This window comes from Homo sapiens, chromosome 12, assembly GCF_000001405.40.
Source record: "Homo sapiens chromosome 12, GRCh38.p14 Primary Assembly".
In the NCBI taxonomy this organism is placed as follows: Eukaryota; Metazoa; Chordata; class Mammalia; order Primates; family Hominidae; genus Homo; species Homo sapiens.
Window position 1 is genome coordinate 115268271 of NC_000012.12, and position 27726 is coordinate 115295996.

General features: G+C 42.1%; 1 long non-coding RNA gene across 1 annotated transcript in view, besides 2 other annotated features; it reads right to left on the reverse strand.

Annotated features, from left to right (window-relative positions):
* Nucleotides 1–1758: 1758 nt before the first annotated feature.
* Nucleotides 1759–27726, reverse strand: part of LOC124903082 (uncharacterized) — an 85010-nt gene continuing 59042 nt past the window's right edge. Inside the window, exon 5 of the long non-coding RNA XR_007063601.1 lies at nt 1759–4897. This is a non-coding gene — a long non-coding RNA (uncharacterized LOC124903082). The remainder of the gene's footprint in view (nt 4898–27726) is intronic.
* Nucleotides 16847–17389: an enhancer, noted in NCBI's record as "H3K4me1 hESC enhancer chr12:115722922-115723464 (GRCh37/hg19 assembly coordinates)". NCBI's record gives its function as "activates a minimal SCP1, AML or CMV promoter by ChIP-STARR-seq in primed H9 embryonic stem cells {active_cell/tissue: H9 hESC(primed)}" and the evidence as "EXISTENCE:reporter gene assay evidence [ECO:0000049][PMID:30033119]".
* Nucleotides 17390–17930: an enhancer, noted in NCBI's record as "H3K4me1 hESC enhancer chr12:115723465-115724005 (GRCh37/hg19 assembly coordinates)". NCBI's record gives its function as "activates a minimal SCP1, AML or CMV promoter by ChIP-STARR-seq in primed H9 embryonic stem cells {active_cell/tissue: H9 hESC(primed)}" and the evidence as "EXISTENCE:reporter gene assay evidence [ECO:0000049][PMID:30033119]".

The window sequence follows — 27726 nt, forward strand, 5'->3', positions numbered from 1 at the left end:
ACAAGAGCCCTGCGAGGGAGAGGCTATTGTCATGAGGCCTTCTTTCTGCAGACAGGCAACATTGAGGCTCAGCGAGGTTAAGTAACTGCCTGTAAGTCACATATTTATTAAGACAGAATCAGGACTTGAACTTAAGTGGTTTGAATCCAGAGCTCATAACCATTATACACTAGCATAGCTCCCATCTCCTTTTGTCCTAGTCATATAGACTGCGGATTGGCACACGTTTTCTGTAAAGGGCAGGATAGTAAGTATTTTTGGCTTTACCAGCCGTACAGTCTCTGACCCAACTACTCTAGAGCACTTCTGTGCTGCTATAATGGAAAAGCAGCCACAGACAATATTTAAGTAGATGATGCATGTGGCTGTGTGCCAGTAAATCTTTATTTACAGAATCAGGCAGGAGGCTGGAGTTGGCCCATGGGCCATACTTTGTTAATCCCTGCTGCAGATGGTCACCCACTCTGCCTTCCATGGAGCTTCATGGTGCCTTCACTGGACTTCTTTTTGTGAGTCTCTCCCCTCACTTGGTTAAGTTCCTTGTGGGTTGACATTTAGACGTGTTTACCTCTGCATTTTTGGCCCTCAAGAAAGATATTTGAATTGATGAATGAATAAGTGACTGAGTGAATGAATGATATGAGGATCAAAATTGCCCCACAGCTATGGTTAGATCAAACACCCAGATCTTAGGCTGGGTTTCCCTGGAACCAGAACTTGGCACAAATGCAAGAAGGTTGGGAACTAATCTCAGGAAATATTGGTAGGGGAGATTTGAAGGGAGGCAAGGAAGGTAAGTGGCCTATCAAGGGTGTGATATTGAGCAGGTTACAGCTGTGGGCAGCTGGAGTTCAGTCTCACTGGGAAACTCTGGGAGACTGGGTAGAGCATGCATCAGCTCTACCAACAGAGGGGCTTCAGGGCTGTTTCCAGGGGTATTGGCTTTCTAGCACCTCCAGGTTTCCCTGAGCATGGCCAACCATGCTCCTTGGCCAGAAAAATGTCAGAAGAGAGATACAGGTTTTCAAATTAATCTAAGATGATCTAAGCAGGGATTTGTTCACTGGCCAAAAACAGCTTGCTGCCTGTTCTTGTAAATAAAGCTTTATAGGAACACAGCCATGCCTATTTGTTTATGCACTGTCTTTGCACTGCAATGGCTGAGTTGGGTAGTTGTGACAGAGAATGTATGGCCTGCAATGCTGAGAGTATTTACTATCTTCCTCTTTACAGAAAAAGTGTGCTGGTCTCTGGTGTAAGAGATATGGGAAGGGCACTGACAGCATCTTCCAAACAGTTTAAATCATGTGAATTACTTACACTAGAATCGAGAAAACTGGGATGTTGCACTTGAAAATTTCCAGTTATGGCTTCCATGGAAAGAGTAAAAATTCTTGCTTTCCATTGTCTTTCTTATTTTTTATTGCAGTGAAACACACACAACATGAAATCTATCCTTGTAACAATTTCTAAGTGTAAAATATTGTTAACTATAAGCCTGACATTGTACAGCAGATCTCTAGAGCTTTTTCATCATGCATGAGTGCAATTCTACACCCATTGAACAGCAATTCCTGCTCTTCCTCCTCCTCCAAGCCCTGGCAATCACCATTTTCCTTTCTGCATCTATAACTTTTAATATTTTCAATATTTTATATAAGTGGATTCATGCAGTATTTGTCCTCCTGTGAGTGGCGTGTTTCACTTAGCATAATGTCTTCAAGGTTTATCCATGTTGTAGCATATGTCAGAATTGCCTTTCTTTTTTGGGTTGAATAATATTCCATGGTATGTATGGTTTTATCCATTCACTCATCCATGAACATTTAGGTGGTTTCCATTTACTGGCTATTGTGAATAATATTGCAGTGAACGTGGGAGTGCGAAAATCTTTTCAAGATTGTTTTTAATTCTTTTGTGCACAGGAAACCAAAGCAAAAATAGACATCACTGAAAGGCTTCTGCACAGCAATGAGCACAATCAACAGAATGAAAAGACACCTACATATTTGGATAAGATACTCGAAAACCATACATCTCATAATATCAGCTATTTTAATGTCCAAAATATATAAGAAACTTCTACAACTCAATAACAAAAATAACAACCTGATTAAAAATGGGCAAAGGACTTGAATAGATATTTCTCCAAAGAAGGCATACAAATGGGCAACAAATATATTAAAAGGTGCTCAACATCACTAATCATCAGGGAAATACAAATCAAAACGACAATGAGATATCACCTCGCACCTGTTACAATTGCTATTACTTTAAAAACAAAACAAAACAAAACAAAACATAATGAGTGTTGAAGAGGACATGGAGAAAAGAGAACCTTTGTACACTGTTGACAAGCATGTAAATGGGTGAAGCCACTATGGAAAAGAGACTGGAAGTTCTTCCAAAAATTATAAATAGAAGGACCACATGATCCAGTGACCCCACTTACTTTCTATTCACTGATGGCAAAAATCTGTTGTTGCTACACAAAAGGAGACTTCTTCAGAGGGGGTGGGGACTGCCCATTTTATTTTACTTATTTTAAAACAATTTTTTTTGAGACAGGGTCTCCCTCTGTTGCCCAGGCTGGAGTGCAGTGGCATGATCTTGGGTCACTGCAGCCTTGGCTTCCAGGGCTCAAACAATCCTTCCACCTAAACCTCCCGAGTAGCTGGGATTACAGGCATGCACCACCATGCCCACATGATTTTTTCTTTTTATTTTTTAGAGATCGAGTCTTGCTATGTTGCCCAGGCTGCCTGCCCACTTTACATCATCTTCCTGTTTGGGTCTATACAGTTCACTGTGTTTGTTCTTATGCCACTGCCACCTGCAATCGCCCCACTCACCACCCTCCACCCCCAGAATGTGAGTTCATGACACCTCAATGAGAAGTATCACCAAATCCATTTCAGGAAGTGTATTAGTCTGTTTTCATGCTGCTGATAAAGACATACCCAAGACTGGGTAATATATAAAGAAAAAGAGGTTTAATGGACTCACAGTTCCACGTGGCTGGGGAAGCCTCACAATCATGGCAGAAGGCAAAAGGCACATCTTACTCTGCAACAGGTAAGACAGAATGAGAACCGAGTGGAAGAGGTTTCCCCTTTTAAAACCATCAGATCTCATGACACTTATTCCCTACCATGAGAATAGTATATAGGAAACCGCCCCCATGATTCAATGATCTCCCACTGGGGTCCTTACACAACACATGGGAACTATGGGAGCTACAATTCAAGATGAGATTTGGGTAGAGACACAGCCAAACCCACTTTCTTAAATTGGAATCTGACTCTGTGACTCCCCTGCTTCAAACTTACCCATCCTGGATCCTCTCTCATGGGGCGCTGGCCAGCCAGTTTTCTCTTTCTCTGTTGCACTCTCCCTCTATACAGCCTGATGTAGACCCTTGGACATACCCTCCTCTCATGTTTTCTGGGTGTTTTACCCAAGTGTTGCCACTGCCTGAAACTTGGGGCCCTGCTCCTCCTTTTCCACTCTGCTGAATCCTTCCAGGCTTCAGCATCATTCTTGGGTGTTATGAAAATTATCCCAAGTCAGGCACGGTGGCTCACTCCTGTAATCCCAGCACTTTGGGAGGCCAAGGTGAGAGGATTGCCTGAGCCTATGAGTTCAAGACCAGCCTGGGCAACATGATGAAACCCCATATCTACAAAACACACAAACAATTATCCTGGTGTGGTGGCACACATCTGTAGCCCCAACTACTCAGGGGGCTGAGGTGGGAGAATCACCTGAGCCTGGGAGATCAAGGCTGCAGTGAGCCATGATCATGCCACTGCACTCCAGCCTGGGTGACAGAGCAATACCCTGTCTCAATCAAAAAAAGAAAGAAAGAAAGGAAAGAAAGAAAGAAAGAAAGAAAAGAGAAAGAGGAAGGAAGGGAGGGAGGGAGGAAGGGACCATACTAGACTGTCCAAGAGGCCACAATGACAGTCTATGTCTGAAGTACTGCCACACATTAACTATTATGCACCCCCCTGGTGTGGGCTGCAATTCTGGAAGACTCTGATTATTGCAGACAAAAACCACACTCCCTTCTCAGTTAAGCATCTTTTCCAGGGTTTTGTCTTCCGGGCATTTATTCTTTCCTTGCTTTCTCAGGTTCCCATCTAAATATTGGAGCCCTGTGTCTTGAAGCAGAATCAGTCTGGGGGAACACCCTTTACCATAATTCTCCCTCTTTTCTGGAACAAAGACAATATTCCCTTTTCCTCCAAAAAAAAATATCATGCTATAGTAAAGAGCATTAAAGTAGAACATGGTTGTTAGAATTAACCTTGGATTTGAATTGAAGCTTTGCCATTTATTAGCTATGCCACCTTCAATAAGTTTCTTAGACTCTAAGAGTTTTTTAGTTTTCTCATTTGTACAATGAGCACAATAAACAGGTTGTTGTGGGGGTTGAGTGAGCTAATGTGTATAAACACCAAGCACAGACCATGGCTCAGTGTGAGTAAGGATAAATGCTAAGTGCATCAGTTACCAATGCTTTGGGCTACAAGTGACAATATTCCCATTTAACAGTATCTTAATTCAAGCGTGTGTTATCTCATTCAACAAAAAGACTAGTGGTAGGCAGTTCCTGGGCTGACTCAGTGTTTCAACAATGTCATCAAAGGCCCAGCTTCTTTCCTTATTTTACTTGGTCATCCTTAGTATAGTGGCTTTCCGTGATCATACTTACACCTCATGGTCACAAGATAGCTGCAGCAGCTTCAGGTATAATATTCCCAAATTGCAGGAAGCAGGGACAAGAGTGACCCAACCATCTTATAAGGTTTTTACCTGGAAAGGAAGCCTCATGTCTTCACCAGCCTTCTTCCTTCATTTCATCAGCTGACACTGTTCACCTCCCAATCAGTCCCTGGAAAATGGGAGTAGGATTATAGGAATCATAATATGAGCCTATTATGCTCATCCCTGAGACTAAGGAAATGTTCTCCTTTCCTCCAAATCTAGAAATCTTCGATCATTACAAAACTGGTTACATTGGCTCAGAAGAAGGGGATGTGAGGTTTTTGAGTGAGTGACGACATCTATCACACTCACAATCAGTTTTAGGAGCAATTCACAGTAAGGTCCAAGCTACCAGAGCTCCTGAAACAGCTTGAAACTTGTGCTAAGACTTTGAGGTATGAGGCATGGGTAGAGCTGGGAGCTGAGGCCACAGTTGGGAGCCTGTCATTCATTCTTAATACCTAGCCTCAGAGGAGCAGGTGTCAGCCCCAGAGCTGAGGCTGGAGGGGCCCTTGGGGAGAAAGAGGTGAGGAGACAGGTGTGAAAGGGAAGGAAAATTTAGCAAACAAGTTTCGCCTCCACCCAGGAGTGAGATTCCTGTGGTTTGCAAACTCTGGAATCTCTCACACTGAAGCCACAGACAACTGCTGAGGCTTTTCAGAGCTTGCCCTCAAAGTCATTCTTGGGCATCATCTGGGGAATATGAACTTCCTCAACCCCCACCTCCAAACTAGGTCTTCTGCTGCAAGAGACTGTATGAAGAAGTCTGAAGCATTTCTAAGACAAATTAAGCCCATCGAGCTCACACCTTCCCTGGACTACACAGCGCATTTCATGGTATGAGAGGCCCTAGGCAAGACATTTGTTCTTCTCTAGATAAAGGTGTTTTGAGATCTAGAGATGAAAGAAAATATAAGAGACACGAGTTGGGCACTTGTCATTCATTCATTCAATCATTCATTCATTCATTCAATAACTATTTATTGAGTGCTTACTATGTGCCAGGCACTATTCTAATTGGTTGGGAATCAGTAGTGAAAAACAGGTAAAAATCACATTCTTCATGAAACCTAGTTTGTGGTGGGGAAAACAGGCAATAAGATAAATAAGAAAAATGTATTGATATTAATTGATATTCCACCCATGGAACTTCTCTTAACCTACTTTCCACTTATGAAATAGTTCTCTGTTACCCAATATTTATTGCATGCCAGGCTGCAATAGTTAGTTTTATGTGTCAACTTTGCTGTGGTCCCAAAGCCCAGATATTTGGACAAACATTATTCTGGATATACCTGTGAGGGTGCTTTTTGGATAAAATCTATGTTTAAATTAGTAGACTTTGAGTAAGGCAGGTTGCCCTACATACTGGGAGTGGGCCTCAGCCAGTCAGTTGCAGGCCTGAAAAGAGCAAAGACTGACCTCACCCGAGCAAGAAGGAATTGGGCTAGAAGATAACCTTTGCACTCGAACTGTAACATCGACTTTTCTCTGGGTCTCCAGTCTGCAAATTTTGGACTTGCCAGCCTCCGTAATCATGTGATTAAACTGCTTGAAATAAATCTCTCTATATAATGTATACATATCCTATTGGTTCTGAACTCTGACTAAAACACAGGCATTGTGCGCTAAGTGCTTTGCAGTTACTAACCTGATTGAATTCTCACAACCCAGTGAGGTCTTTTTATTTCCACCGCCCTCTTTGCAGATGAACAAAGCGTGGCTCCAAAAGTAAATTGCCAAGGCTACACATCAAGTAAGCAGCAACATCAGGATCTAAACCTAGGGCTGTGTGACATCAAGGTCTACACCCAAAATCTAACACACCCATTCAGCCCCATTTGCCACATGATGTCTGTCCCCACATCTCATGTTCCCCAAGGATTCCCATGTGGGAGCGTGAAGGGTCTCCCACACAGTAGAGGTGCAGTGATATATTTCCCACCTCTTTTTGATAACGGGTGAGTAGTATAGCTTGAATTGGATTCCTTATGACAAGATTACAAGAGAGCACCTTGTTTAAAATCTCTCTACCCTGATCCATTGAGAAAAATCTCTGTCCCTAGGATTAGGCTGAACAGAAAGTTCAATGAGTCAAAGTTGTTCTGGTGTGCTTTGAAGAAAAAATACTGTAGTGAAATTTCACTATCGGTATGGACTAGGACATGCTTTATATAATTGTGGGGCAAAAAGTATAGCTATATGAGTTGCACTGCCTAGGTTCAAATCCCAGCATCCCCACATACAGGCTGGGTGATCCCAGCCAACTTCCTTAACCACTCTGAGCCTCAGTTTTCTCATGATAACTCTAATAATAAAAATTCACACTTCCCGCTCCCCAAGAGGCATAATGAAGCTTAAATACATCAGCACACACAAAGCTGTTGGGACAGTTCCTGGCAAAAATATAAGTATCCAAGAAATGTGATATATATTCACCATGGAATACTATTCAGCCATAAAACAGAGTGAAATAATGGCATTTGCAGCAACCTGGATGGAATTGGAGTCCATTATTCTAAGTGAAGTAACTCAGAAATGGGAAACCAAATATTGTATGTTCTATGTTCTCACTTATAAGTGGGAGCTAAGCTATGAGAATGCAAAGGCAGAATAATGATATAATGGACTTTGGGAACTCAGGGAGAAGGGTGGGAGGAGGATGAGGGATAAAAGACTACACATTGGGTACAGTGTCCACTGCTCGGGTGATGGGTGCACCAACATCTCAGAAATCACCACTAAAGAACTTATCCATGTAACCAAACACCACCTGCTCCCCCAAAAGCTATTGAAATAAAAAGTGTGTGTGTGTGTGTGCGTGTATATATATAGTATATAGTATATATATATAGTATATTATATATATATATAGTATATAGTATATATATTGAAAGCACTGTGCCAAGTGCTTTGCAGTTACTGTCTTAATTAAATTCTCACAGGTATAAGTATCACAAGTTTTATTGGATAAATATCCAATGAACATTGGTTCTTATTTTGGGAGTAGCAGAGTTTAGGGTGTGTGGAATTCATACAGTGTGTATGTGCATATGTGCGTGTGGTGGGGTGCTAGTTAAGGAAATAAACAGACATTTGCTAAAGAATCTGGGGGATTATGCAGTGAGGGGCCCCAGGGCCACAGGGCCCAATGTCTGCCAGCCCATAGGGTTATTCCCTGTGGTAGCAATATATTTTCCATCAGTGTCTCCAAGTCCTCAAAAAAATACATGTCTGAGCATAGGGTTTCCTTTATTTCCAAGTCTCATTTGATTATGTTCCTGACAGTGAGAAATCTCAGGATTTCTCACACCTTACAACGGTGTGACACTTAGAGAACAAGATTGCTGCAAGCACTGCCTCTGAACTTGGGCATCTATGGACTCCTCTCTGGGTCCTAGAGCCAACAGCACCTGTAATGGTCTCTCTCAATCCCCAGGCTCTTCTACCTAAACATTAGACAGGCTTAAGAAATAACTGCTGAAGGGGCAGGGTGAGCCCTCATAAGCCCAGCAGTGATTGTAGCTGGGGTCAAGTGTTTTTAAGAGCAGGTTTTAATTTTTTGATATTGCTCTCTTGGGTAACAGAGGTGTGTTTTGTTTTGTTTTTAACAGAATACTCAACGAAGAGTGAGGCAGAGAAAAAAATAAAAGAAAATGGAAACAGCACTTCCACTGTCTGTGCAAATGATGATTTATAGTTACATGTGATGATTTTCACTTTGAGGTGTTTGCATTCTCCCCTTCCCACTTGACCCTCACCACAGTTCTGCGACATCAGCTAGGCTGGTGTGAACAGCTCTATGTTATAGATGGGGCAGTTGAAGTCCACAGGATTTAAAAGGGCATCCTTAGGTTGCACAGAGTGAGGAGTGAACCAGAATCTAAATATCTTAATGCTTTGTCTTATGCATTTTTTATTAAATAACAGCATTCTTGGAACGTCTGGGTATTTTAAGCTCCATTTTACAGATGAGAAAATTGAGTCCCCCTAAAATGCAATGGGTTGTCCAAGATCACTTCAGTTATAATAATAGGAGGAGGAGGAGGACGAGGATGAGGAGGAGAAGGAAGAGAAGAAAGAGAAAGAGAAGGAGAAGGAGTAGGAGACGAACAAGAGGAAGAGGAAGAAGAAGAAGGAGAAGGAGGAGGAGGAGGAGGGAGGCGGAGAGGGGAAAGGGGAGGGGGGGAGGGGGAGGAAGTGGAGGAAGAAGAAAAAGAAGAAGGACGGGGGAGAAGGAGAGGGGGAGGGGGAGGAAGAGGAGGAGAAAGAGAGGAAGAAGAAGAAGAATTAAGAATTAAGAATGACAGGGTGTATCAGTCATCCTCGGTTATATTATGCTATGCTAACAAGAAAATCCCTTAGGGGCATGTAAAAATATTCCTCACATACACTATGGCCATTGTGGGTCAGCTTCAGCTCAACTCTAGATTCTGGGCCCAGGCTGAAGGAGCAGGCTCTGTCTGAGGTATTTTCAGTCTTGTTCCTTTTTCCAGGAGAAAGACTGATGGTGATGGAACACTCAGGGGCTCTTAAGGCTCATGCTCAGAGGTGCTCGTCACTCATCCTTCACTGGCCAAAGGAACCCATGTGATAAGCATGGTATCAATGGGACAGACAGTTATAATTCTCCCATCTGAAGAATCTCTTTAGGAAAGATGCCATAAAGACAGGAACACACATTTTTAATAATGTCCATTCTATCACTGTGGGAATTGAAGACACGCAGTGAAGGTCTTATCGACTGCCATGCAGAAGGTTCTGCAGAAGCAAAGGCCAGGTGGCTAAATGAGACACAGAATCAGAGAGCAATGGGGCAGGTCTGGCTGGAGGGGAGGGTTCATGTAGGCCAATTTGACTCTGGGTCAGATTCCTCATTACACTGGGCAGGTCAGGCACCGACAAACACAGGGACAGTGGATATATCTCAGCTACAGCACAGTTTACCACATCTGGAAAAAAGAGCAGTCAAGTGCCCTTAGACTGGATGTTATGGGTCCCTCGTGTTAGACTCATCCATGGCTCTCCGCACCTCTTGGGTAACCTACGAATCTAGTTATTCCATTATCACCTTCAAGAATTGTCCTGCAGGCTCATGTTTTTGTGTTTTATTTTCATAAGTTTTGCCTTGTCCTCATTCCACCGATAAAATAAGTTAACATTATTCATTGAAAGGTACTTGCTTTTATAACATAAACAGATTTATGTAAGGTATTAGTTCCTAGGGCTGTCCTAACACAGTGGCGCTGACTAAGGGGCTTAAGCAACAGAAATTTCTTTTCTCATAGTTGTGAAGGCTGGAAGTCTGAGATCAAGGTGTGGGCAGGGTTGGTTCCTTCTGAGGCCTCCCACCTTGGCTTGTAGACGACATCTTCTTCCTCTGTCTTCCCTCTGTACCTTTCTGTGCCCTAGTTGCCTCTTCTTATAAGGACATCAGCCCTATTTGATCAGGGCCCTCCAAAATGACCTCATTTTAACTTAACACCTCTTTAAAGGCCCTGTCTTCAAATACAGCCACATTCTGAGCTACCAGAAATTACAATTTCATCATATAAATTTGGGCACCCAATTCAGCCCATAGCATGTTCCAAAGAAATATTATACCATAATCATATTATACTATCACCATAAATAGAAAAACACTCAGTTGCCATACATAGAAGAACCTAGAACCGTGCCCAGCACATTAATAGGTGCTCAATATTTATGAAATAAATGATTGAATAATAGTAAAAATAACCACAAATGGGGCAAAATTATTTTGTAACATTCTAAGTAGTTGATTATTAAAAGCTTGGAGCCTGATGTTCCTCTTTTTTAAAGTTGGGAGAGTACAAGTGCTGGAGGGGTGTTAAGGGCATGTTAGCACTAACAGAGACTTTCTGCCCTGCTCAATTAGAAAAGCAAAGACATAATAAAGACAGTAAGTTTCTCTTCATGCAATTCTGTGTCATTTTCTCCTAATGTCTTCTCACATCCCATTGGAGGCTTATGTTTCGCACTTGGAAAAACGTGGGCCTGCTCATGGGACAAAGCCACACTCTTACGAGAGAGCATAATGTCCTCCTGATCTCTCTCCAATCTCTCTCTCCAGCCTCACGGCTGCCTGTTTTCCCACACCTTACACTCTAGTGGGCTCATGTGAAGCAACTGAAGCATGGCAAGTTGTCTCATTCCTTTCTGTGTGCCTTCATACATCCTCCTACCTCTGCTAGAAACACCTTTCCTTACTCTGCTGGCTGGGTGAACTCCTCTTCATCCCTCAAGACCTATTCAAGAATGCCCACAGTGGCCGGGCACGGTGGCTCACACCTGTAATCCCACCACTTTGGGAGGCCAAGGTGGGAGGATCACAAGATCAGGAGATTGAGACCATCCTGGCTAACACAGCGAAAACCCCATCTCCACTAAAAAAAAAAAGTACAAAAAAAAAAAATCAGCCGGGCATGGTGGTGGGTGCCTGTAGTCCCAGCTACTCGGGAGGCTGAGGGAGGAGAATGGCGTGAACCCAGGAGGTGGAGCTTGCAGTGAGCCAAGATCGCACCACTGCACTCCAGCCTGGGTAACAGAGTGAGACTCCGTCTCAAAAAAAAAAAAAAAAAAGAACGCCTCTAAAAGATGGGAGAGACGGAAAAAATGGAATGCAAGCTAGCATTTGCAGCATAATTCCATCTTAATGGACAAAAATACAAATATAGTTCTGAAATCCATGCATATGAACATATTAAAGCATGATGGGAATACAGCAATCTATTTTTGATTATCTGTAGTTTCTGATTTTTTTGACAGCCAATATGTATTCTTCTGTAATGGTAATAAATAGCTACTTTTGATATTTTCAAAGAGCAAGTGTCTACAGGTTTTCTTTTGGGAACTCTTCTTGAATAATACCCTGCCCCTCAAGACCCATGCACACACACACATGCACACACAAGCCCCAGGCAGGCAAAGACATTAACAGTCTTTTCTGCTAACCTTGCGTTTTGCCCATAAATTAATTAGTTCACTAATCATTCTATTTGGGAATTATCTATTAATTTATTTCCTCCCCACCCTTGCCTGAGAGGCAATATTGTTAGATGTTAAGAGCATGGATCCTAGAGCTGCACTGTCCAGTGTCAAAGCCTGGATCTACCCAGTCTCCATTGGCTCACTGACTATTAAGCATTATCCTATGCAAGGTGCTTTAGTTGGCAGGTGGGATACACTTGTATTCAGAACAGACAATGAATCTGCCATTCCAATGATAGGGTGGACCACCGAGACAGTCATCTGTAAGCATAATAAATTAGCAAAATCAATAGTATACTAGAAGGCGCACATCAGGCTGTGCAAAAATGAAAATGCGGAGCACAGGGAGAGAGATTGAGAGTGTGGAAGGAAGTGAGTGAGGGAAGAGATAAAAATTTAATGAGGGTGGTCAGTTCTTACAGAGAAGGGAAATTTTGAGTAAGAACTTGCAAGGAGAGAGGGTGTTATCCATGCAGATAACTGGTAGAGGAGCATTCCAGGGTAGAGATGGCCAGTGTAAAAGCAGGAGTATTCTTATGTTAAGAATTGAATTGCGCCCCCATAAAATCCATATGTTGAAGTCCTACCCACTAATGTGACTGTATTTGGAGAGAGGACCTGCATGGAAGTAATAAGGTAGAATGGGGTCATAAGGGTGGGGCTCTAGTCCAGTAGGATGAGCCCCATCATAATGGCAGAAGAGGCAGAGAGACCAGAAGCACTTGAGCACAGAGGAAAACCATGTGAAGATACAGCAAGAAGGCAGCCTTCTGTAAGCCAGAAAATGAGCCCTCATGGCTGGGTGTGGTGGCTCATGCCTGTAATCCCAGCACTTTAGGAGACCAAGGCGGGTGGATCATGCAGTCAGGAGATCAAGACCATACTGGCCAACATGGTGAAACCCTGTCTCTACTAAAAATATAAAAATTAGCCAAGTGTGGTGGCCTGTAGTCCCAGCCACTTGGGAGGCTGAGGCAGGAAAATCACTTAAACCCAGGAGGCTGAGGTTGCAGTGAGCTGAGATCACGCCACTGCACTCCAACCTGGGGACAGAGTGAGAGTCCATCTCAAAAAAAGAAATGAGCCCTCATAAGAAACCAATCTTGATGGAATCTTGATCTTGGACTTCTAGCCTCCAGAACTGAAGAAAATGCCTTTCTGTTGTTTAGAACACCCAGTGTATGGTGTTTTATTATGGCCGCCTGAGCTAATATATCTGGTGTTTTGGAGAAATGGGAAGAAAACCAGAGTAACCTGGGGCAGATTGAGTGACAGGGAGTATAGTGGGTAATGAAGTAAGAGAGGCACCTCTCCAAGGAGCTAGACAAGAGGGAAACAAATCAGGTAGGACTTTGTAGGGCACTGTATGAACTTTGCTTTTACTCCAAGGGAACTGGGGAGCCACGGCAGCATTTTGAGCTGAGAGTGACACACTCTGAACTATGCTCCAAAAGCATTCCTCTGGTTGCTCTGCTGAGAATAAATTGTAAGAGAAAGGAATAGAAGCTGCAAGAACAATAGAAATCTGATGAAACAATTCAGGGGGGAGATGAAGGTGTCTTGGATTAGGCTGGAGGGGAGAGCCATTGTCAGATTCTGAGTAGAGCGTGACGGTCAAGAGAACAGAATTTCCTAATGCCTGGGGAGTAGGGGTGTGAGAGAAAGAAGAGTCACAGAGGACTCTGAAGTTGATGAGAGCCACAGGAAAGAGGCTCAGGGGACATTAGGCAATATCTGGAGATAGTTTTGATTGTCACAAACTCAGAGGTGCTACTAGTATCTAATGAGTAGAGGCCAGGGATACTATTAAACATCCTCTAACACACAGGAATGCTCCCCACCACAAAGGAGGGTCCCACCCAAATGTCAATAGCACTCAAGTTCAGAAGCCTATGTGCAGAAGGTAGAACAGGTTGGGCTGAAAGCAAGACATACCGTTAGGAAAGATCAGTAGTTTCATTTTGAACATATTAATTTACTTACTAGCTCTCTGGGTACTGGTTGTATGATATTGGGAAATCGTTTCATCTCTCTGGACCTCAGCTTTTTTTCATCTGGAAAATGAGGATTAAAAATTCTACCTACTGCATAGATGTCTTATGGAGTAAAAATGTAATGCACTTAGAATAGTGCCTAACACAGAGTAAGCACTCAATAAATTTTAGCCATGATTATTGAAAGGGAGTATTTCTTATTCATTGTGTATGCCAGCTCTGAGAGCAAGGCCTGGGACATAGTACGTATGCAGTGAATGCTCACTGATGCACGTACCAAACTGATCACAGTGTCTTTTTTTTTTTTCTTTCTTTCCTTCCTTCCTTCTTTCTTCCTTTCTTCCTTCTTTTTTCCTTTCTTCCTTTCTTCCTTCTTTTCTCCTTTCTTCTTTCCTTCCTTCCTTCCTTTCTCTCTCTCTCTCTTTCTTTCTTTCAGAGTCTCACTCTGTCACCCAGGCTGGAGTGCAGTGGCACGATCTCGGCTCACTGCAACCTCCGTCTCCCAGGCTCAAGCAATTCTCCTGCCTCAGCCTCCTGAGTAGCTGGGACTACAAGTGCGCACTGCACCACCACACCCAGCTAATTTTTGTATTTTTAGTAGAGACGGGGTTTCACCATGTTGGTCAGGCTGGTCTCAAACTCCCGACCTTGTGATCCGCCCGCCTCAGCCTCCCAAAGTGTTGGGATTACAGGTGTGATCCACCATGCCTGGCCTGATCACAGAGTATCTATCTGATGATACATGGGGTTTCTCCAGGCCCCACCCCAGCTGGAACTTAAAGGTGAATGTGGGAAGTCAGGTTTGTCAGCAGGTTTTCCTGGAGCTGGGATAAGGAAGCCAAACTGAAGTTTCAGTTGAAACCCATGAGCAGGAAGCATGAGAATGAGGGACAAGATGTAACCAAACCCCAAATCTGTTCAGAGAGGCTTTCCCAGGGGCCTCCTACTGGCTCTGCCTGAAGCCTGGGCTTTTTTCTAAAACGTAATTTCATTTATTTATTGCTTTATGGCTTATAACTCAAACGGCTTTGCATGTCATTTTTTAACTTATTAGTTAATAGACAAAGGTTTTATTAGATCCAATCAAGAAAGAGATCATGCATTCTTTTAATCATGACGTATGCAATGTTAAGCCATTCTTTGTAACTGAAACTCATCAATTTGCTTCTTTCCAAGGACCAGAAAGAGTCCTCTTTGGCTCCAATCCCTCCTGCTTGGCCATCTTCTGGAGCCTGCTATGAATGGTTTCACAGCCCCTGTCCCTTTGCCTTGTAAATCACAGGGATGCGCTTATGTGCACCAAGCTTCAACTTACCAATGTACAACCAGACACCAGGGACATGCAGGGGACCTAGCCATGAGACAAGCAAGCAAAACATGCTAAAGCCTGCATCTGTCAGGATGACTTCAGTTACAGGCAACAGACCAAATTGATTCAAAGTGATGTCTAATATTAAAAGTTTATATATGTATATGTATGTATCTACAGACGTGTAAAAGCTGGCAAAACAGGTCACCCAGAGGTAGGCTACCCCAACATCAGTTCATTCAGTGGCCTAAACAAATCATCAAAAGCCCCCAAATCATTCACGATTACATTCTTGATGCAGCCCAATGCTGGCCACATAGATGCTCAAAGAATATTTGTTAAAAGAATGAGAAGAAAGAGTAGAATGGACCCAAGCTTAGCAGCTTCTTCTACTTGTAAGACATGTACCACTGTTCTCAGCATCTCTTCCAGACACAATAATGTCCAGGTAAAGAATAGACTATTTTTCCTATCTTTGGGGATTTTTGCATATTTTCATTTTGAATTATTTCATATAAACAAGTATACCCAGATATATATATATATACACACACACACACACACACACACACTTATATATGACTTAAAGTCTATGTAGTTTATAGGTAATGTATGTGCCATATTGGGTTTAAAGGAGAATAAAATTAATTAATGTTTCTGTAACTCATTGATGAGTGAAAGAAACAAGACTTAATTAAGCTATGGAATCTTCCTGTATGCCCATCTCCAATTATCTCTCTCTCCCTTCCTACTCCCTCCAGGGAGCTAATCATTAGTCTGAGTGTTGTATCGTTGCTTCATCACTATCCTTTCTCCTCCTTTATAACAGAAGAACACCATTCTCATGAGCACCCAAGAGACTTCCCTCATGTTTTTTTTTTCCCCAGCCAGAGCAGAGTCACATGCCTACCCATTAACCAAATCGCAGACCAAGAGATTGCATTGGCTGTGATTGCCTTGAGCCAATCAGAATTTTTAGTTAGTTTCTTTGTTTGCTTGAGACAGGGTCTAGCTCTGTCACTCAGGCTCTAGTGCTGTGGCACAATCATGGCCCACTGCAGCCTTGACCTTCCAGGTTCAAGCAATCCTCCCACCTCAGCCTCCTGAGTAGCTGAAATTACAAGCACACACCACTATGCCTTGTTATTTTTTGTATTCTTTGTAGAGATGGCGTTTTGCCATTTTGGCTAGACTAGTCTTGAACTCCTGAGCTCAAGCTGATCCGCCTGCCTTGGTTCCCCCAAAGTGTTGGGATTACAGGCATGAGCCACAGCACCTGGCCACGGTTAAAATTTTTAGTTTCTTAAACTTGAGAGAGAAATTATAAAAGGTTGTCCCAAAGGTTTTCATAAAGATTGTCATAAAGATTGAATCAGAGCCTATATGTTACCCTATCATGGTATTGAGTTAATCAGCTGATTTTCTTTCAATATGTAGGCCAACTTTCACTTCCAACTGCAATCCTGCAACTATATACACATACATACACTTGCACAAACACAATCACACAAGTGCACATACAGATACACACGCACATACACATCCGCACAACTCTGAAATTGAATAGTCCTGAGTATTTATCCCACCTCAGTAACACGAGTGACCAGATGTGTTTTTCTTTTCTTTTTTTTTTTTCTTGCCTTCCTGCGTCTCTCTTTCCCCTCATTCTGTTGACAATAATTTTTATACAGCTGCTATGTGCCAGCACTGGAAGTTTCCCAGAATAGAACGATGCGGAAAGAATAAAGACAGCAAAATCTATTTCTTGGGGGGAGGAGCCAAGATGGCCAAATAGGAACAGCTCGAGTCTACAGCTCCCAGCGTGAGCGACGCAGAAGACGGGTGATTTCTGCATTTCCATCTGAGGTACCGGGTTCATCTCACTAGGGAGTGCCAGACAGTGGGCGCAGGTCAGTGGGTGCGCGTACCATGCGCGAGCCGAAGCGGGGCGAGGCATTGCCTCACTCGGGAAGCGCAAGGGGTCAGGGAGTTCCCTTTCCTAGTCAAAGAAAGGGGTGTCAGTCGGCACCTGGAAAATCGGGTCACTCCCACCCGAATACTGCGCTTTTCCGACGGGCTTAAAAAACGGCACCCCAGGAGATTGTATCCCGCACCTGGCTCGGAGGGTCCTATGCCCACGGAGTCTCTCTGATTGCTAGCACAGCAATCTGAGATCAAACTGCAAGGCAGCAGCGAGGCTGGGGGAGGGGCGCCCGCCATTGCCCAGGCTTGCTTAGGTAAACAAAGCAGCCAAGAAGCTCGAACTGGGTGGGGCCCACCACAGCTCAAGGAGGCCTGCCTGCCTCTGTAGGCTCCACCTCTGGGGGCAGGGCACAGACAAACAAAAAGACAGCCGTAACCTCTGCAGACTTAAATGTCCCTGACTGACAGCTTTGAAGAGAGCAGTGGTTCTCCCAGCACGCAGCTGGAGATCTGAGAACAGGCAGACTGCCTCCTCAAGTGGGTCCCTGACCCCTGACCCCCGAGCAGCCTAACTGGGAGGCACCCCCTAGCAGGTGCACACTGACACCTCACACGGCCGGGTACTCCAACAGACCTGCAGCTGAGGGTCCTGTCTGTTAGAAGGAAAACTAACAAACAGAAAGGACTTCCACACCAAAAACCCATCTGTACATCACCATCATCAAAGACCAAAAGTAGATAAAACCACAAAGATGGGGAAAAAACAGAGCAGAAAAACTGGAAACTCTAAAAAGCAGAGCACCTCTCCTCCTCCAAAGGAACGCAGTTCCTCACCAGCAACGGAACAAAGCTGGATGGAGAATGACTTTGACGAGCTGAGAGAAGTCTTCGGATGATCAAATTACTCCGAGCTACGGGAGGACATTCAAATCAAAGGCAAAGAAGTCGAAAACTTTGAAAAAAATTTAGAAGAATGTATAACTAGAATAACCAATACAGACAAGTGCCTAAAGGAGCTGATGGAGCTGAAAACCAAGGCTCGAGAACTACGTGAAGAATGCAGAAGCCTCAGGAGCCGATGCGATCAACTGGAAGAAAGGGTATCAGCAATGGAAGATGAAATGAATGAAATGAAGCGAGAAGGGAAGTTTAGAGAAAAAAGAATAAAAAGAAATGAACAAAGCCTCCAAGAAATATGGGACTATGTGAAAAGACCAAATCTATGTCTGATTGGTGTACCTGAAAGTGATGGGGAGAATGGAACCAAGTTGGAAAACACTCTGCAGGATATTATCCAGGAGAACTTCCCCAATCTAGCAAGGCAGGCCAACATTCAGATTCAGGAAATACAGAGAATGCCACAAAGATACTCCTCGAGAAGAGCAACTCCAAGACACATAATTGTCAGATTCACCAAAGTTGAAATGAAGGAAAAAATGTTAAGGGCAGCCAGAGAGAAAGGTCGGGTTACCCTCAAAGGGAAGCCCATCAGACTAACAGTGGATCTCTTGGCAGAAACTCTACAAGCCAGAAGAGAGTGGGGGCCAATATTCAACATTCTTAAAGAAAAGAATTTTCAATCCAGAATTTCATATCCAGCCAAACTAAGCTTCATAAGTGAAGGAGAAATAAAATACTTTACAGACAAGCAAATGCTGAGAGATTTTGTCACCACCAGGCCTGCCCTAAAAGAGCTCCTGAAGGAAGCGCTAAACATGGAAAGGAGCAACCGGTACCAGCCACTGCAAAATCATGCCAAAATGTAAAGACCATCGAGACTAGGAAGAAACTGCATCAACTAACGAGCAAAATAACCAGCTAACGTCATAATGACAGGATCAAATTCACACATAACAATATTAACTTTAAATGTAAATGGACTAAATGCTCCAATTAAAAGACACAGACTGGCAAATTGGATAAAGAGTCAAGACCCATCAGTGTGCTGTATTCAGGAAACCCATCTCACGTGCAGAGACACACATAGACTCAAAATAAAAGGATGGAGGAAGATCTACCAAGCGAATGGAAAACAAAAAAAGGCAGGGGTTGCAATCCTAGTCTCTGATAAAACAGACTTTAAACCAACAAAGATCAAAAGAGACCAAGAAGGCCATTACATAATGGTAAAGGGATCAATTCAACAAGAAGAGCTAACTATCCTAAATATATATGCACCCAATACAGGAGCACCCAGATTCATAAAGCAAGTCCTGAGTGACCTACAAAGAGACTTAGACTCCCACACATTAATAATGGGAGACTTTAACACCCCACTGTCAACATTAGACAGATCAACGAGACAGAAAGTCAACAAGGATACCCAGGAATTGAACTCAGCTCTGCACCAAGCGGACCTAATAGACATCTACAGAACTCTCCACCCCAAATCAACAGAATATACATTTTTTTCAGCACCACACCACACCTATTCCAAAATTGACCACATACTTGGAAGTAAAGCTCTCCTCAGCAAATGTAAAAGAACAGAAATTATAACAAACTATCTCTCAGACCACAGTGCAATCAAACTAGAACTCAGGATTAAGAATCTCACTCAAAACCGCTCAACTACATGGAAACTGAACAACCTGCTCCTAAATGACTACTGGGTACATAACGAAATGAAGGCAGAAATAAAGATGTTCTTTGAAACCAACGAGAACAAAGACACAACATACCAGAATCTCTGGGACGCATTCAAAGCAGTGTGTAGAGGGAAATTTATAGCACTAAATGCCCACAAGAGAAAGCAGGAAAGATCCAAAATTGACACCCTAACATCACAATTAAAAGAACTAGAAAAGCAAGAGCAAACACATTCAAAAGCTAGCAGAAGACAAGAAATAACTAAAATCAGAGCAGAACTGAAGGAAATAGAGACACAAAAAAGCCTTCAAAAAATTAATGAATCCAGGAGCTGGTTTTTTGAAAATATCAACAAAATTGATAGACCGCTAGCAAGACTAATAAAGAAAAAAAGAGAGAAGAATCAAATAGATGCAATAAAAAATGATAAAGGGGATATCACCACTGATCCCACAGAAATACAAACTACTATCAGAGAATACTACAAACACCTCTACGCAAATAAACTAGAAAATCTAGAAGAAATGGATAAATTCCTCGACATATACACTCTTCCAAGACTAAACCAGGAAGAAGTTGAATCTCTGAATAGACCAATAACAGGATCTGAAATTGTGGCAATAATCAATAGCTTACCAACCAAAAAGAGTCCAGGACCAGATGGATTCACAGCCGAATTCTACCAGAGGTACAAGGAGGAACTGGTACCATTCCTTCTGAAACTATTCCAATCAATAGAAAAAGAGGGAATCCTCCCTAACTCATTTTATGAGGCCAGCATCATCCTGATACCAAAGCCGGGCAGAGACACAACCAAAAAAGAGAATTTTAGACCAATATCCTTGATGAACATTGATGCAAAAATCCTCAATAAAATACTGGCAAACCGAATCCAGCAGCACATCAAAAAGCTTATCCACCATGATCAAGTGGGCTTCATCCCTGGGATGCAAGGCTTGTTCAATATATGCAAATCAATAAATGTAATCCAGCATATAAACAGAACCAAAGACAAAAACCACATGATTATCTCAATAGATGCAGAAAAGGCCTTTGACAAAATTCAACAACCCTTCATGCTAAAAACTCTCAATAAATTAGGTATTGATGGGACGTATTTCAAAATAATAAGAGCTATCTATGACAAACCCACAGCCAATATCATACTGAATGGGCAAAAACTGGAAGCATTCCCTTTGAAAACTGGCACAAGACAGGGATGCCCTGTCTCACCACTCCTATTCAACATAGTGTTGGAAGTTCTGGCCAGGGCAGTCAGGCAGGAGAAGGAAATAAAGGGTATTCAATTAGGAAAAGAGGAAGTCAAATTGTCCCTGTTTGCAGACGACATGATTGTATATCTAGAAAACCCCATTGTCTCAGCCCAAAATCTCCTTAAGCTGATAAGCAACTTCAGCAAAGTCTCAGGATACAAAATCAATGTACAAAAATCACAAGCATTCTTATACACCAATAACAGACAAACAGAGAGCCAAATCATGAGTGAACTCCCATTCACAATTGCTTCAAAGAGAATAAAATACCTGGGAATCCAACTTACAAGGGATGTGAAGGACCTCTTCAAGCAGAACTACAAACCACTGCTCAAGGAAATAAAAGAGGATACAAACAAATGGAAGAACATTCCATGCTCATGGGTAGGAAGAATCAATATCATGAAAATGGCCATACTGCCCAAGGTAATTTATAGATTCAATGCCATCCCCATCAAGCTACCAATGACTTTCTTCACAGAATTGGAAAAAACTACTTTAAAGTTCATATGGAACCAAAAAAGAGCCCGCATCGCCAAGTCAATCCTAAGCCAAAAGAACAAAGCTGGAGGCATCACCCTACCTGACTTCAAACTATACTACAAGGCTACAGTAAGCAAAACAGCATGGTACTGGTACCAAAACAGAGATATAGATCAATGGATCAGAACAGAGCCCTCAGAAATAATGCCGCATATCTACAACTATCTGATCTTTGACAAACCTGAGAAAAACAAGCAATGGGGAAAGGATTCCCTATTTAATAAATGGTGCTGGGAAAACTGGCTAGCCATATGTAGAAAGCTGAAACTGGATCCCTTCCTTACACCTCATACAAAAATCTATTAAAGATGGATTAAAGACTTAAACGTTAGACCTAAAACCATAAAAACCCTAGAAGAAAACCTAGGCATTACCATTCAGGACATAGGCATGGGCAAGGACTTCATGTCTAAAACACCAAAAGCAATGGCAACAAAAGACAAAATTGACTAATGGGATCTAATTAAACTAAAGAGCTTCTGCACAGCAAAAGAAACTACCATCAGAGTGAACAGGCAACCTACAAAATGGGAGAAAATTTTCGCAACCTACTCATCTGACAAAGGGCTAATATCCAGAATCTACAATGAACTCAAACAAATTTACAAGAAAAAAACAAACAACCCCATCAAAAAGTGGGCGAAGGACATGAACAGACACTTCTCAAAAGAAGACATTTATGCAGCCAAAAAACACATGAAAAAATGCTCACCATCACTGGCCATCAGAGAAATGCAAATCAAAACCACAATGAGATACCATCTCACACCAGTTAGAATGGCAATCATTCAAAAGTCAGGAAACAACAGGTGCTGGAGAGGATGTGGAGAAATAGGAACACTTCTACACTGTTGGTGGGACTGTAAACTAGTTCAACCATTGTGGAAGTCAGTCTGGCGATTCCTCAGGGATCTAGAACTAGAAATACCATTTCACCCAGCCATCCCATTACTGGGTATATACCCAAAGGACTATAAATCATGCTGCTATAAAGACACATGCACACGTATGTTTATTGCGGCATTATTCACAATAGCAAAGACTTGGAACCAACCCAAATGTCCAACAATGATAGACTGGAATAAGAAAATGTGGCACATATACACCACGGAATACTATGCAGCCATAAAAAATGATGAGTTCATGTCCTTTGTAGGGACATGGATGAAATTGGAAATCATCATTCTCAGTAAACTATCGCAAGAACAAAAAACCAAACACCGCATATTCTCACTCATAGGTGGCAATTGAACAATGAGAACACATGGACACAGGAAGGGGAACATCACACTCTGGGGACTGTTGTGGGGTGGGGGGAGAGGGGAGGGATAGCATTGGGAGATATACCTAATGCTAGATGATGAGTTAGTGGGTGCAGCACACCAGCATGGCACATGTATACATATGTAACTAACCTGCACATTGTGCACATGTACCCTAAAACTTAAAGTATAATAAATAAATAAATAAATAAATAAATAAACAGAAAACAAACAAACAAAAAGAATAAAGACAGAATCCTGCCCAATGGGACAGGATTCAAAGACTCGTACAAATAAATGCAAAGTTATAATTCTATTATAATTGCACCAGCCTAATACTAAATCCCATGAAGACGAGTTCTGTCTGTGAGGCCACATGGTGCGAGCTGCATGGAGGGCTTCCCTAGGAAGAGAAGGAATTGGAATCTGAAGGAAGAGTAGGCATCATTTGGACATCAGCTGTGGTATGCTCAAGCCCGCCCATACGCCTCGTGAGAAGTGATAGTGCAATGTTCAGGAACTGTGCAAGCTGGTTATTAAGCACAGTGCTTATTAAGAATTAAATGATACAAACATAAAATTTTAAATGCTATATTAAAAACAAAGCGATAAATTCTCACAACTTATCACTCCCTGATAAGGGAAATGCCATATAATGAGGTTTTATGATCCTTCTCATCCCAACTTTTTGTCCAGTGACATCATGTTAGTAGCTTGAAACTTGGCCATGGTGGGAGTATTTCCACCACAGAAATTGGCAAGTGCTGTAGACGAGGTTTTTGTTTTATTATCCACCCACCCCTACCTAGAAAGCCAGTTATTAAACATTTACCAGCACACAAACTGGCAAAGGGGATTCAAGGAGAACATTATAGATAATAGGGACAGTTCATAAAAAGGCCCCATGGTAGAGAGTAACATGACATATCTGAGAAATTGAAACAAGTTTCATTGAGAATACTAAGAATCTCTACCTCAAAGCGTTTTAAGGACCAAATAGAATAACCCATATAAACTGTTTCAAACAGTGCCTAGCACATAGTAAGTTCTTAATAATGGTAGTTTAGTTTTTTTTTAAGTTCAGCAGTGTCCAATTGCTTCCAATGGTAGCTTTTAGGTGTAGATTGTTAAGAAACAGGATGGCAGATACTACTAGCTCCCTACCCAATATCCACTCCATCCCTTCTTCCTCAACTTAACAGAACTGCAATATTGTTCAGAGTAGCAAGGTACTCAGTTACAATATTTGTGATCCCAGGCTCTGTGGAGTTCAAGAAAGCCACAGCACTCAGTGTTGACCAAAAAGACATAACTGAGGGTCTTGGGAAAAACCCCCTTTCTGGATGCTCTTCATAACTGGAATGTGGACATGGGGCTTGAAGCTGCAACAGGCATTTTTGCATTTGTGTGCATCCTTGAGCTGCTATAACAAAATACCATATATGGAGAGCCTTCCAAACAACAAAAAAGTATTTCCCACAGTTCTGGAGACTGGAAATCCAAGACCAAGGTGCTGGCAGATTCCATGTCTGATGAGGTCCTGATCTTTATACACAACTATATTCTCACTGTAACCTCACATGGCCGAAGGGGAAAGCAAGGGATCTCTCTCAGACCCCTTAAATAAGAACACTAATCCCATTCATGAGGCTTCTGCCCTCATGACCCAGCACCTCCCAACAGCCTCATCTCCTAACAGCAGTATCTTGGGTATTAGGATTTCAACATATGAATTTGCAAGAAGCATAAACATTCCATCCAGGGATGGAATTGTATGGAGGATGTTGAGGATGCATGGAGGGGAGGAAGAATGAAAATCTTGGGATCACTGATGCTAACAGTCAGCCACTGGAATGGTCCTCTGGACTTTGTATATGGTGGCTTCCAAATCTGTCATCCATGTCCATTGATCCATTGATGGACACTTAGGTTGATTCCATGTCTTGGCTGATATGAATAATACAATGAACATAGGAGTGCAAATATCTCTTTGACTTACTGATTTTATTTCCTTTGGGTATATAATTCAGAAGCGGGATTGCTGGATCAAATGGTTCTATTTTTAGTTTTTTGAGGAACCTCCATACTGTTTTCCATAGTGGCTGCACCAATTTACATTCCCACCAACAGTGTAAAAGAGTTCCCTTTTCTCCACACCCTGGCCAACATTCACGATCTTTTTTTGATAATAGCCTTTCTAACAGGTGTGAGGTGATAAATCACTGTGGTTTTCATTTGCATTTCCCTGATGATCAGTGATATTGAGCATGTTTACATAAACCTGTTGGCCATTTGTAGGTCTTCTTTTGAGAAATGTCTTTTCATGTCCTTTGCCTGTTTCTTAATCAGGTTACTCATTTTCTTGAGTTCTAGGAGTTTCTTATATATTTTGGGTATTAATCCTTTATCAGAAGTACAATTTGAAAATATTTTCTCCTATTCTGTAGGTCATCTTTCCACTCTGTTCATTGTTCCCTTTGCTGTACATAAGCCTTTTAGTTTGATGTAATCCTATTTGTCAATTTTTGCTTCTGTTGCCTGTGCTTTGGGGATCATATAAACACAATAAAATACTATTAAACATTTAAAAAGAGGCAATCCTGTCATTTGTGACAACATGGATGAACCTCGAAGACATTTTGCTAAGTGAAATAAGCCAGACACAGAAAGACAAATTCTGCATGATCTCACTTTTATATGAAAACTGAAAAAGAGTCAAACTCATAGAAGCAGAGAGTAGAATGGTGGTTACCAAGGGCTGGAGGCAGGGGAGAGGAAATAGAGAGATGTTTGCCAAAGGACACGAAATTTCAGTTAGAGAGGAGGAGGAAGTTGAGGATATCTATTGTACACATGGTGACTGTAGTTACTAACAGTGTACTGCAATCTTGAAAACTGCTAACAGAGTAGATTTTACATGTTCTTATTACACAAAACAGCTCTCATCACTCACACACAAAAATGAAAGGTAATGAATATGTTAATTAGATTGATTTTGCTACCTCACAGTTTATATATATATCAAAACATATTTATGTTATATACTATATATATATTCAATTTTTATTTGTCAATTAAAAAATAATTAATTTTTAAAAATTCCTTATCTATTTAAGCCACTGAAGCTGTGTGTTCCATTACTTGCAGCTGAATGTATTCCTAACTGATACAAATGAATTTTCCAGCCAGCATAATAGGCAATGTGGCTATAAGAAGCCAGTCAAAAGACCCTAGAAACTTGCCACTGAAATATTCTGGTTCAAGGACCAACAGGATTCACAGCACCTGGAAGCTGGTTAGAAATATATAGTCTCAGGTCCCACCCTGAACCTCCTAACAAAATTTACATTTTAACAAGTTCTCCAAATATTCATTCCACAATAATAAAAATTTAGAAACACTTCTGCAGAAAATCCTCGTGGAACAGTTAGACTTTCTAACCTTTTGATTTAAGGACATTTGTCCGAAAATGCTCTAAAGCTGCAAAACCAGAACCTATCCGTGCAAGCAGATTTTTTTTTTTTTTTTTTGATGCTTGCTGGACTCCATTGTGAGCCTCATAAGGCAACCAGAATTTGCTGTTAGCAGCTCTCTAAAGTGGTTGCAAGATTACCCAACACCCAGAAACGAAGCCTAAACATCCATCCCTTGATAAACACATCTAGGCCCTGAAAAGTTCAAGCTCTGTGTTGGGTCTTGACCTCTGAAATATTTATACACAGTGATGCACCTTCCAGATAACATCTCCTGGAATCTGCTTAGCAGCCAGGCTGCAACAGGGAGTGAGTGAATAAATGCTCTTGTTGTCTATAATTCAGCAAGAAAGCTTTTGCTAAGCCCCCAGACACAGCTAAGAATAGCCAGGTTCCTTCTCGTCTTTGAGAGCTCCAAGTTCAAAAATAAGTTTCCCGCTCCTCTCCTGCATCCGCTAGACTATGCTGTAGAAGCTCTCACAGTTGGTGCTACCCTGGCCCATACCCAAGAAATACCCTTGTTTGTTGGAATGGATTCAGCTCTTGGCTGATTTCTTTCTTGTACCACTCCTTGCCAGACTAGTTCAATCTTGGGTCATTCCTGTTTGGGTTTCTTGATTAACTCCAAGTCTCCCAGGGAAAGGAAGAGAAAAAAAGCTTTGTTAGAGCAACAAGACCCATGAGTCACACCAGCCTAGGCTTGTCTTCTCTCTCCAAGCAGACCCTCCAGAAGACCTATCTTCATTCCTCTACTTTGAGAGTTCTACTCTTCTCTATGAATTCTAAAACTGGGTTTTCCCTCCTGTCCCCTGACTAAGGGAGATCTGAAGAGCAGGGTCTTTAGAATGTAACATGCCAAAAATCAAATCCCTGCTTGGCCTCTAACCAACTGTGGGACTGGGAGTAAGTGACTTGAGCTTCCCAAGCTTCAGTGTCCTTGGTGATAATGATGTCCACTCATGGCTCATGCCAAGAATTTTGTGCATATCCACTAGAATATGTGTCCTGCGAGGGTAAGGTTTCTCCCTGAGTTGCCTACTGGTGTATCTCTGGTGTCTCTATCTATGCCTGAAGTTACTCAATAAATACATTTTTTATGGGTGGGGATAACTGATTCTTACAACAGTCCTATAAGGTAGATGCTATAACCCTTCCCATTTTTCAGATGTTGAAACCAAGGTTCAGAACGGTGAAGTCAGTTGTTCAAGATCACACAGGCTATATGTGACAGAGTCAAGATTAGGACACAAACCTGCCTGCCTTCAAAGCCTATTCCAGCCATCCTAAGGAGCTGTACATATTAGATATTGAAGTCAATATGCATAACACACTTCACACTCGGTAGGTGGCCAATAAATACTGTCTCCCTCTTCCTCTTGGTCTCTCATACCATCTTCTCTCACCAATCCTGTTTTCTACTCCCCCATCTTTCCCCAAACTCTACTTCAAGTTGGAAAACATTGCCACAAATTTAAAAACAAACAAAAAAAACCTCCTTGGCTTGGCCTCCTCAGTTCCCACCAACTGATAGGAAGCAGACATTCAAACTCAAGGGAAGGGAAAGAGGGTATATTCATC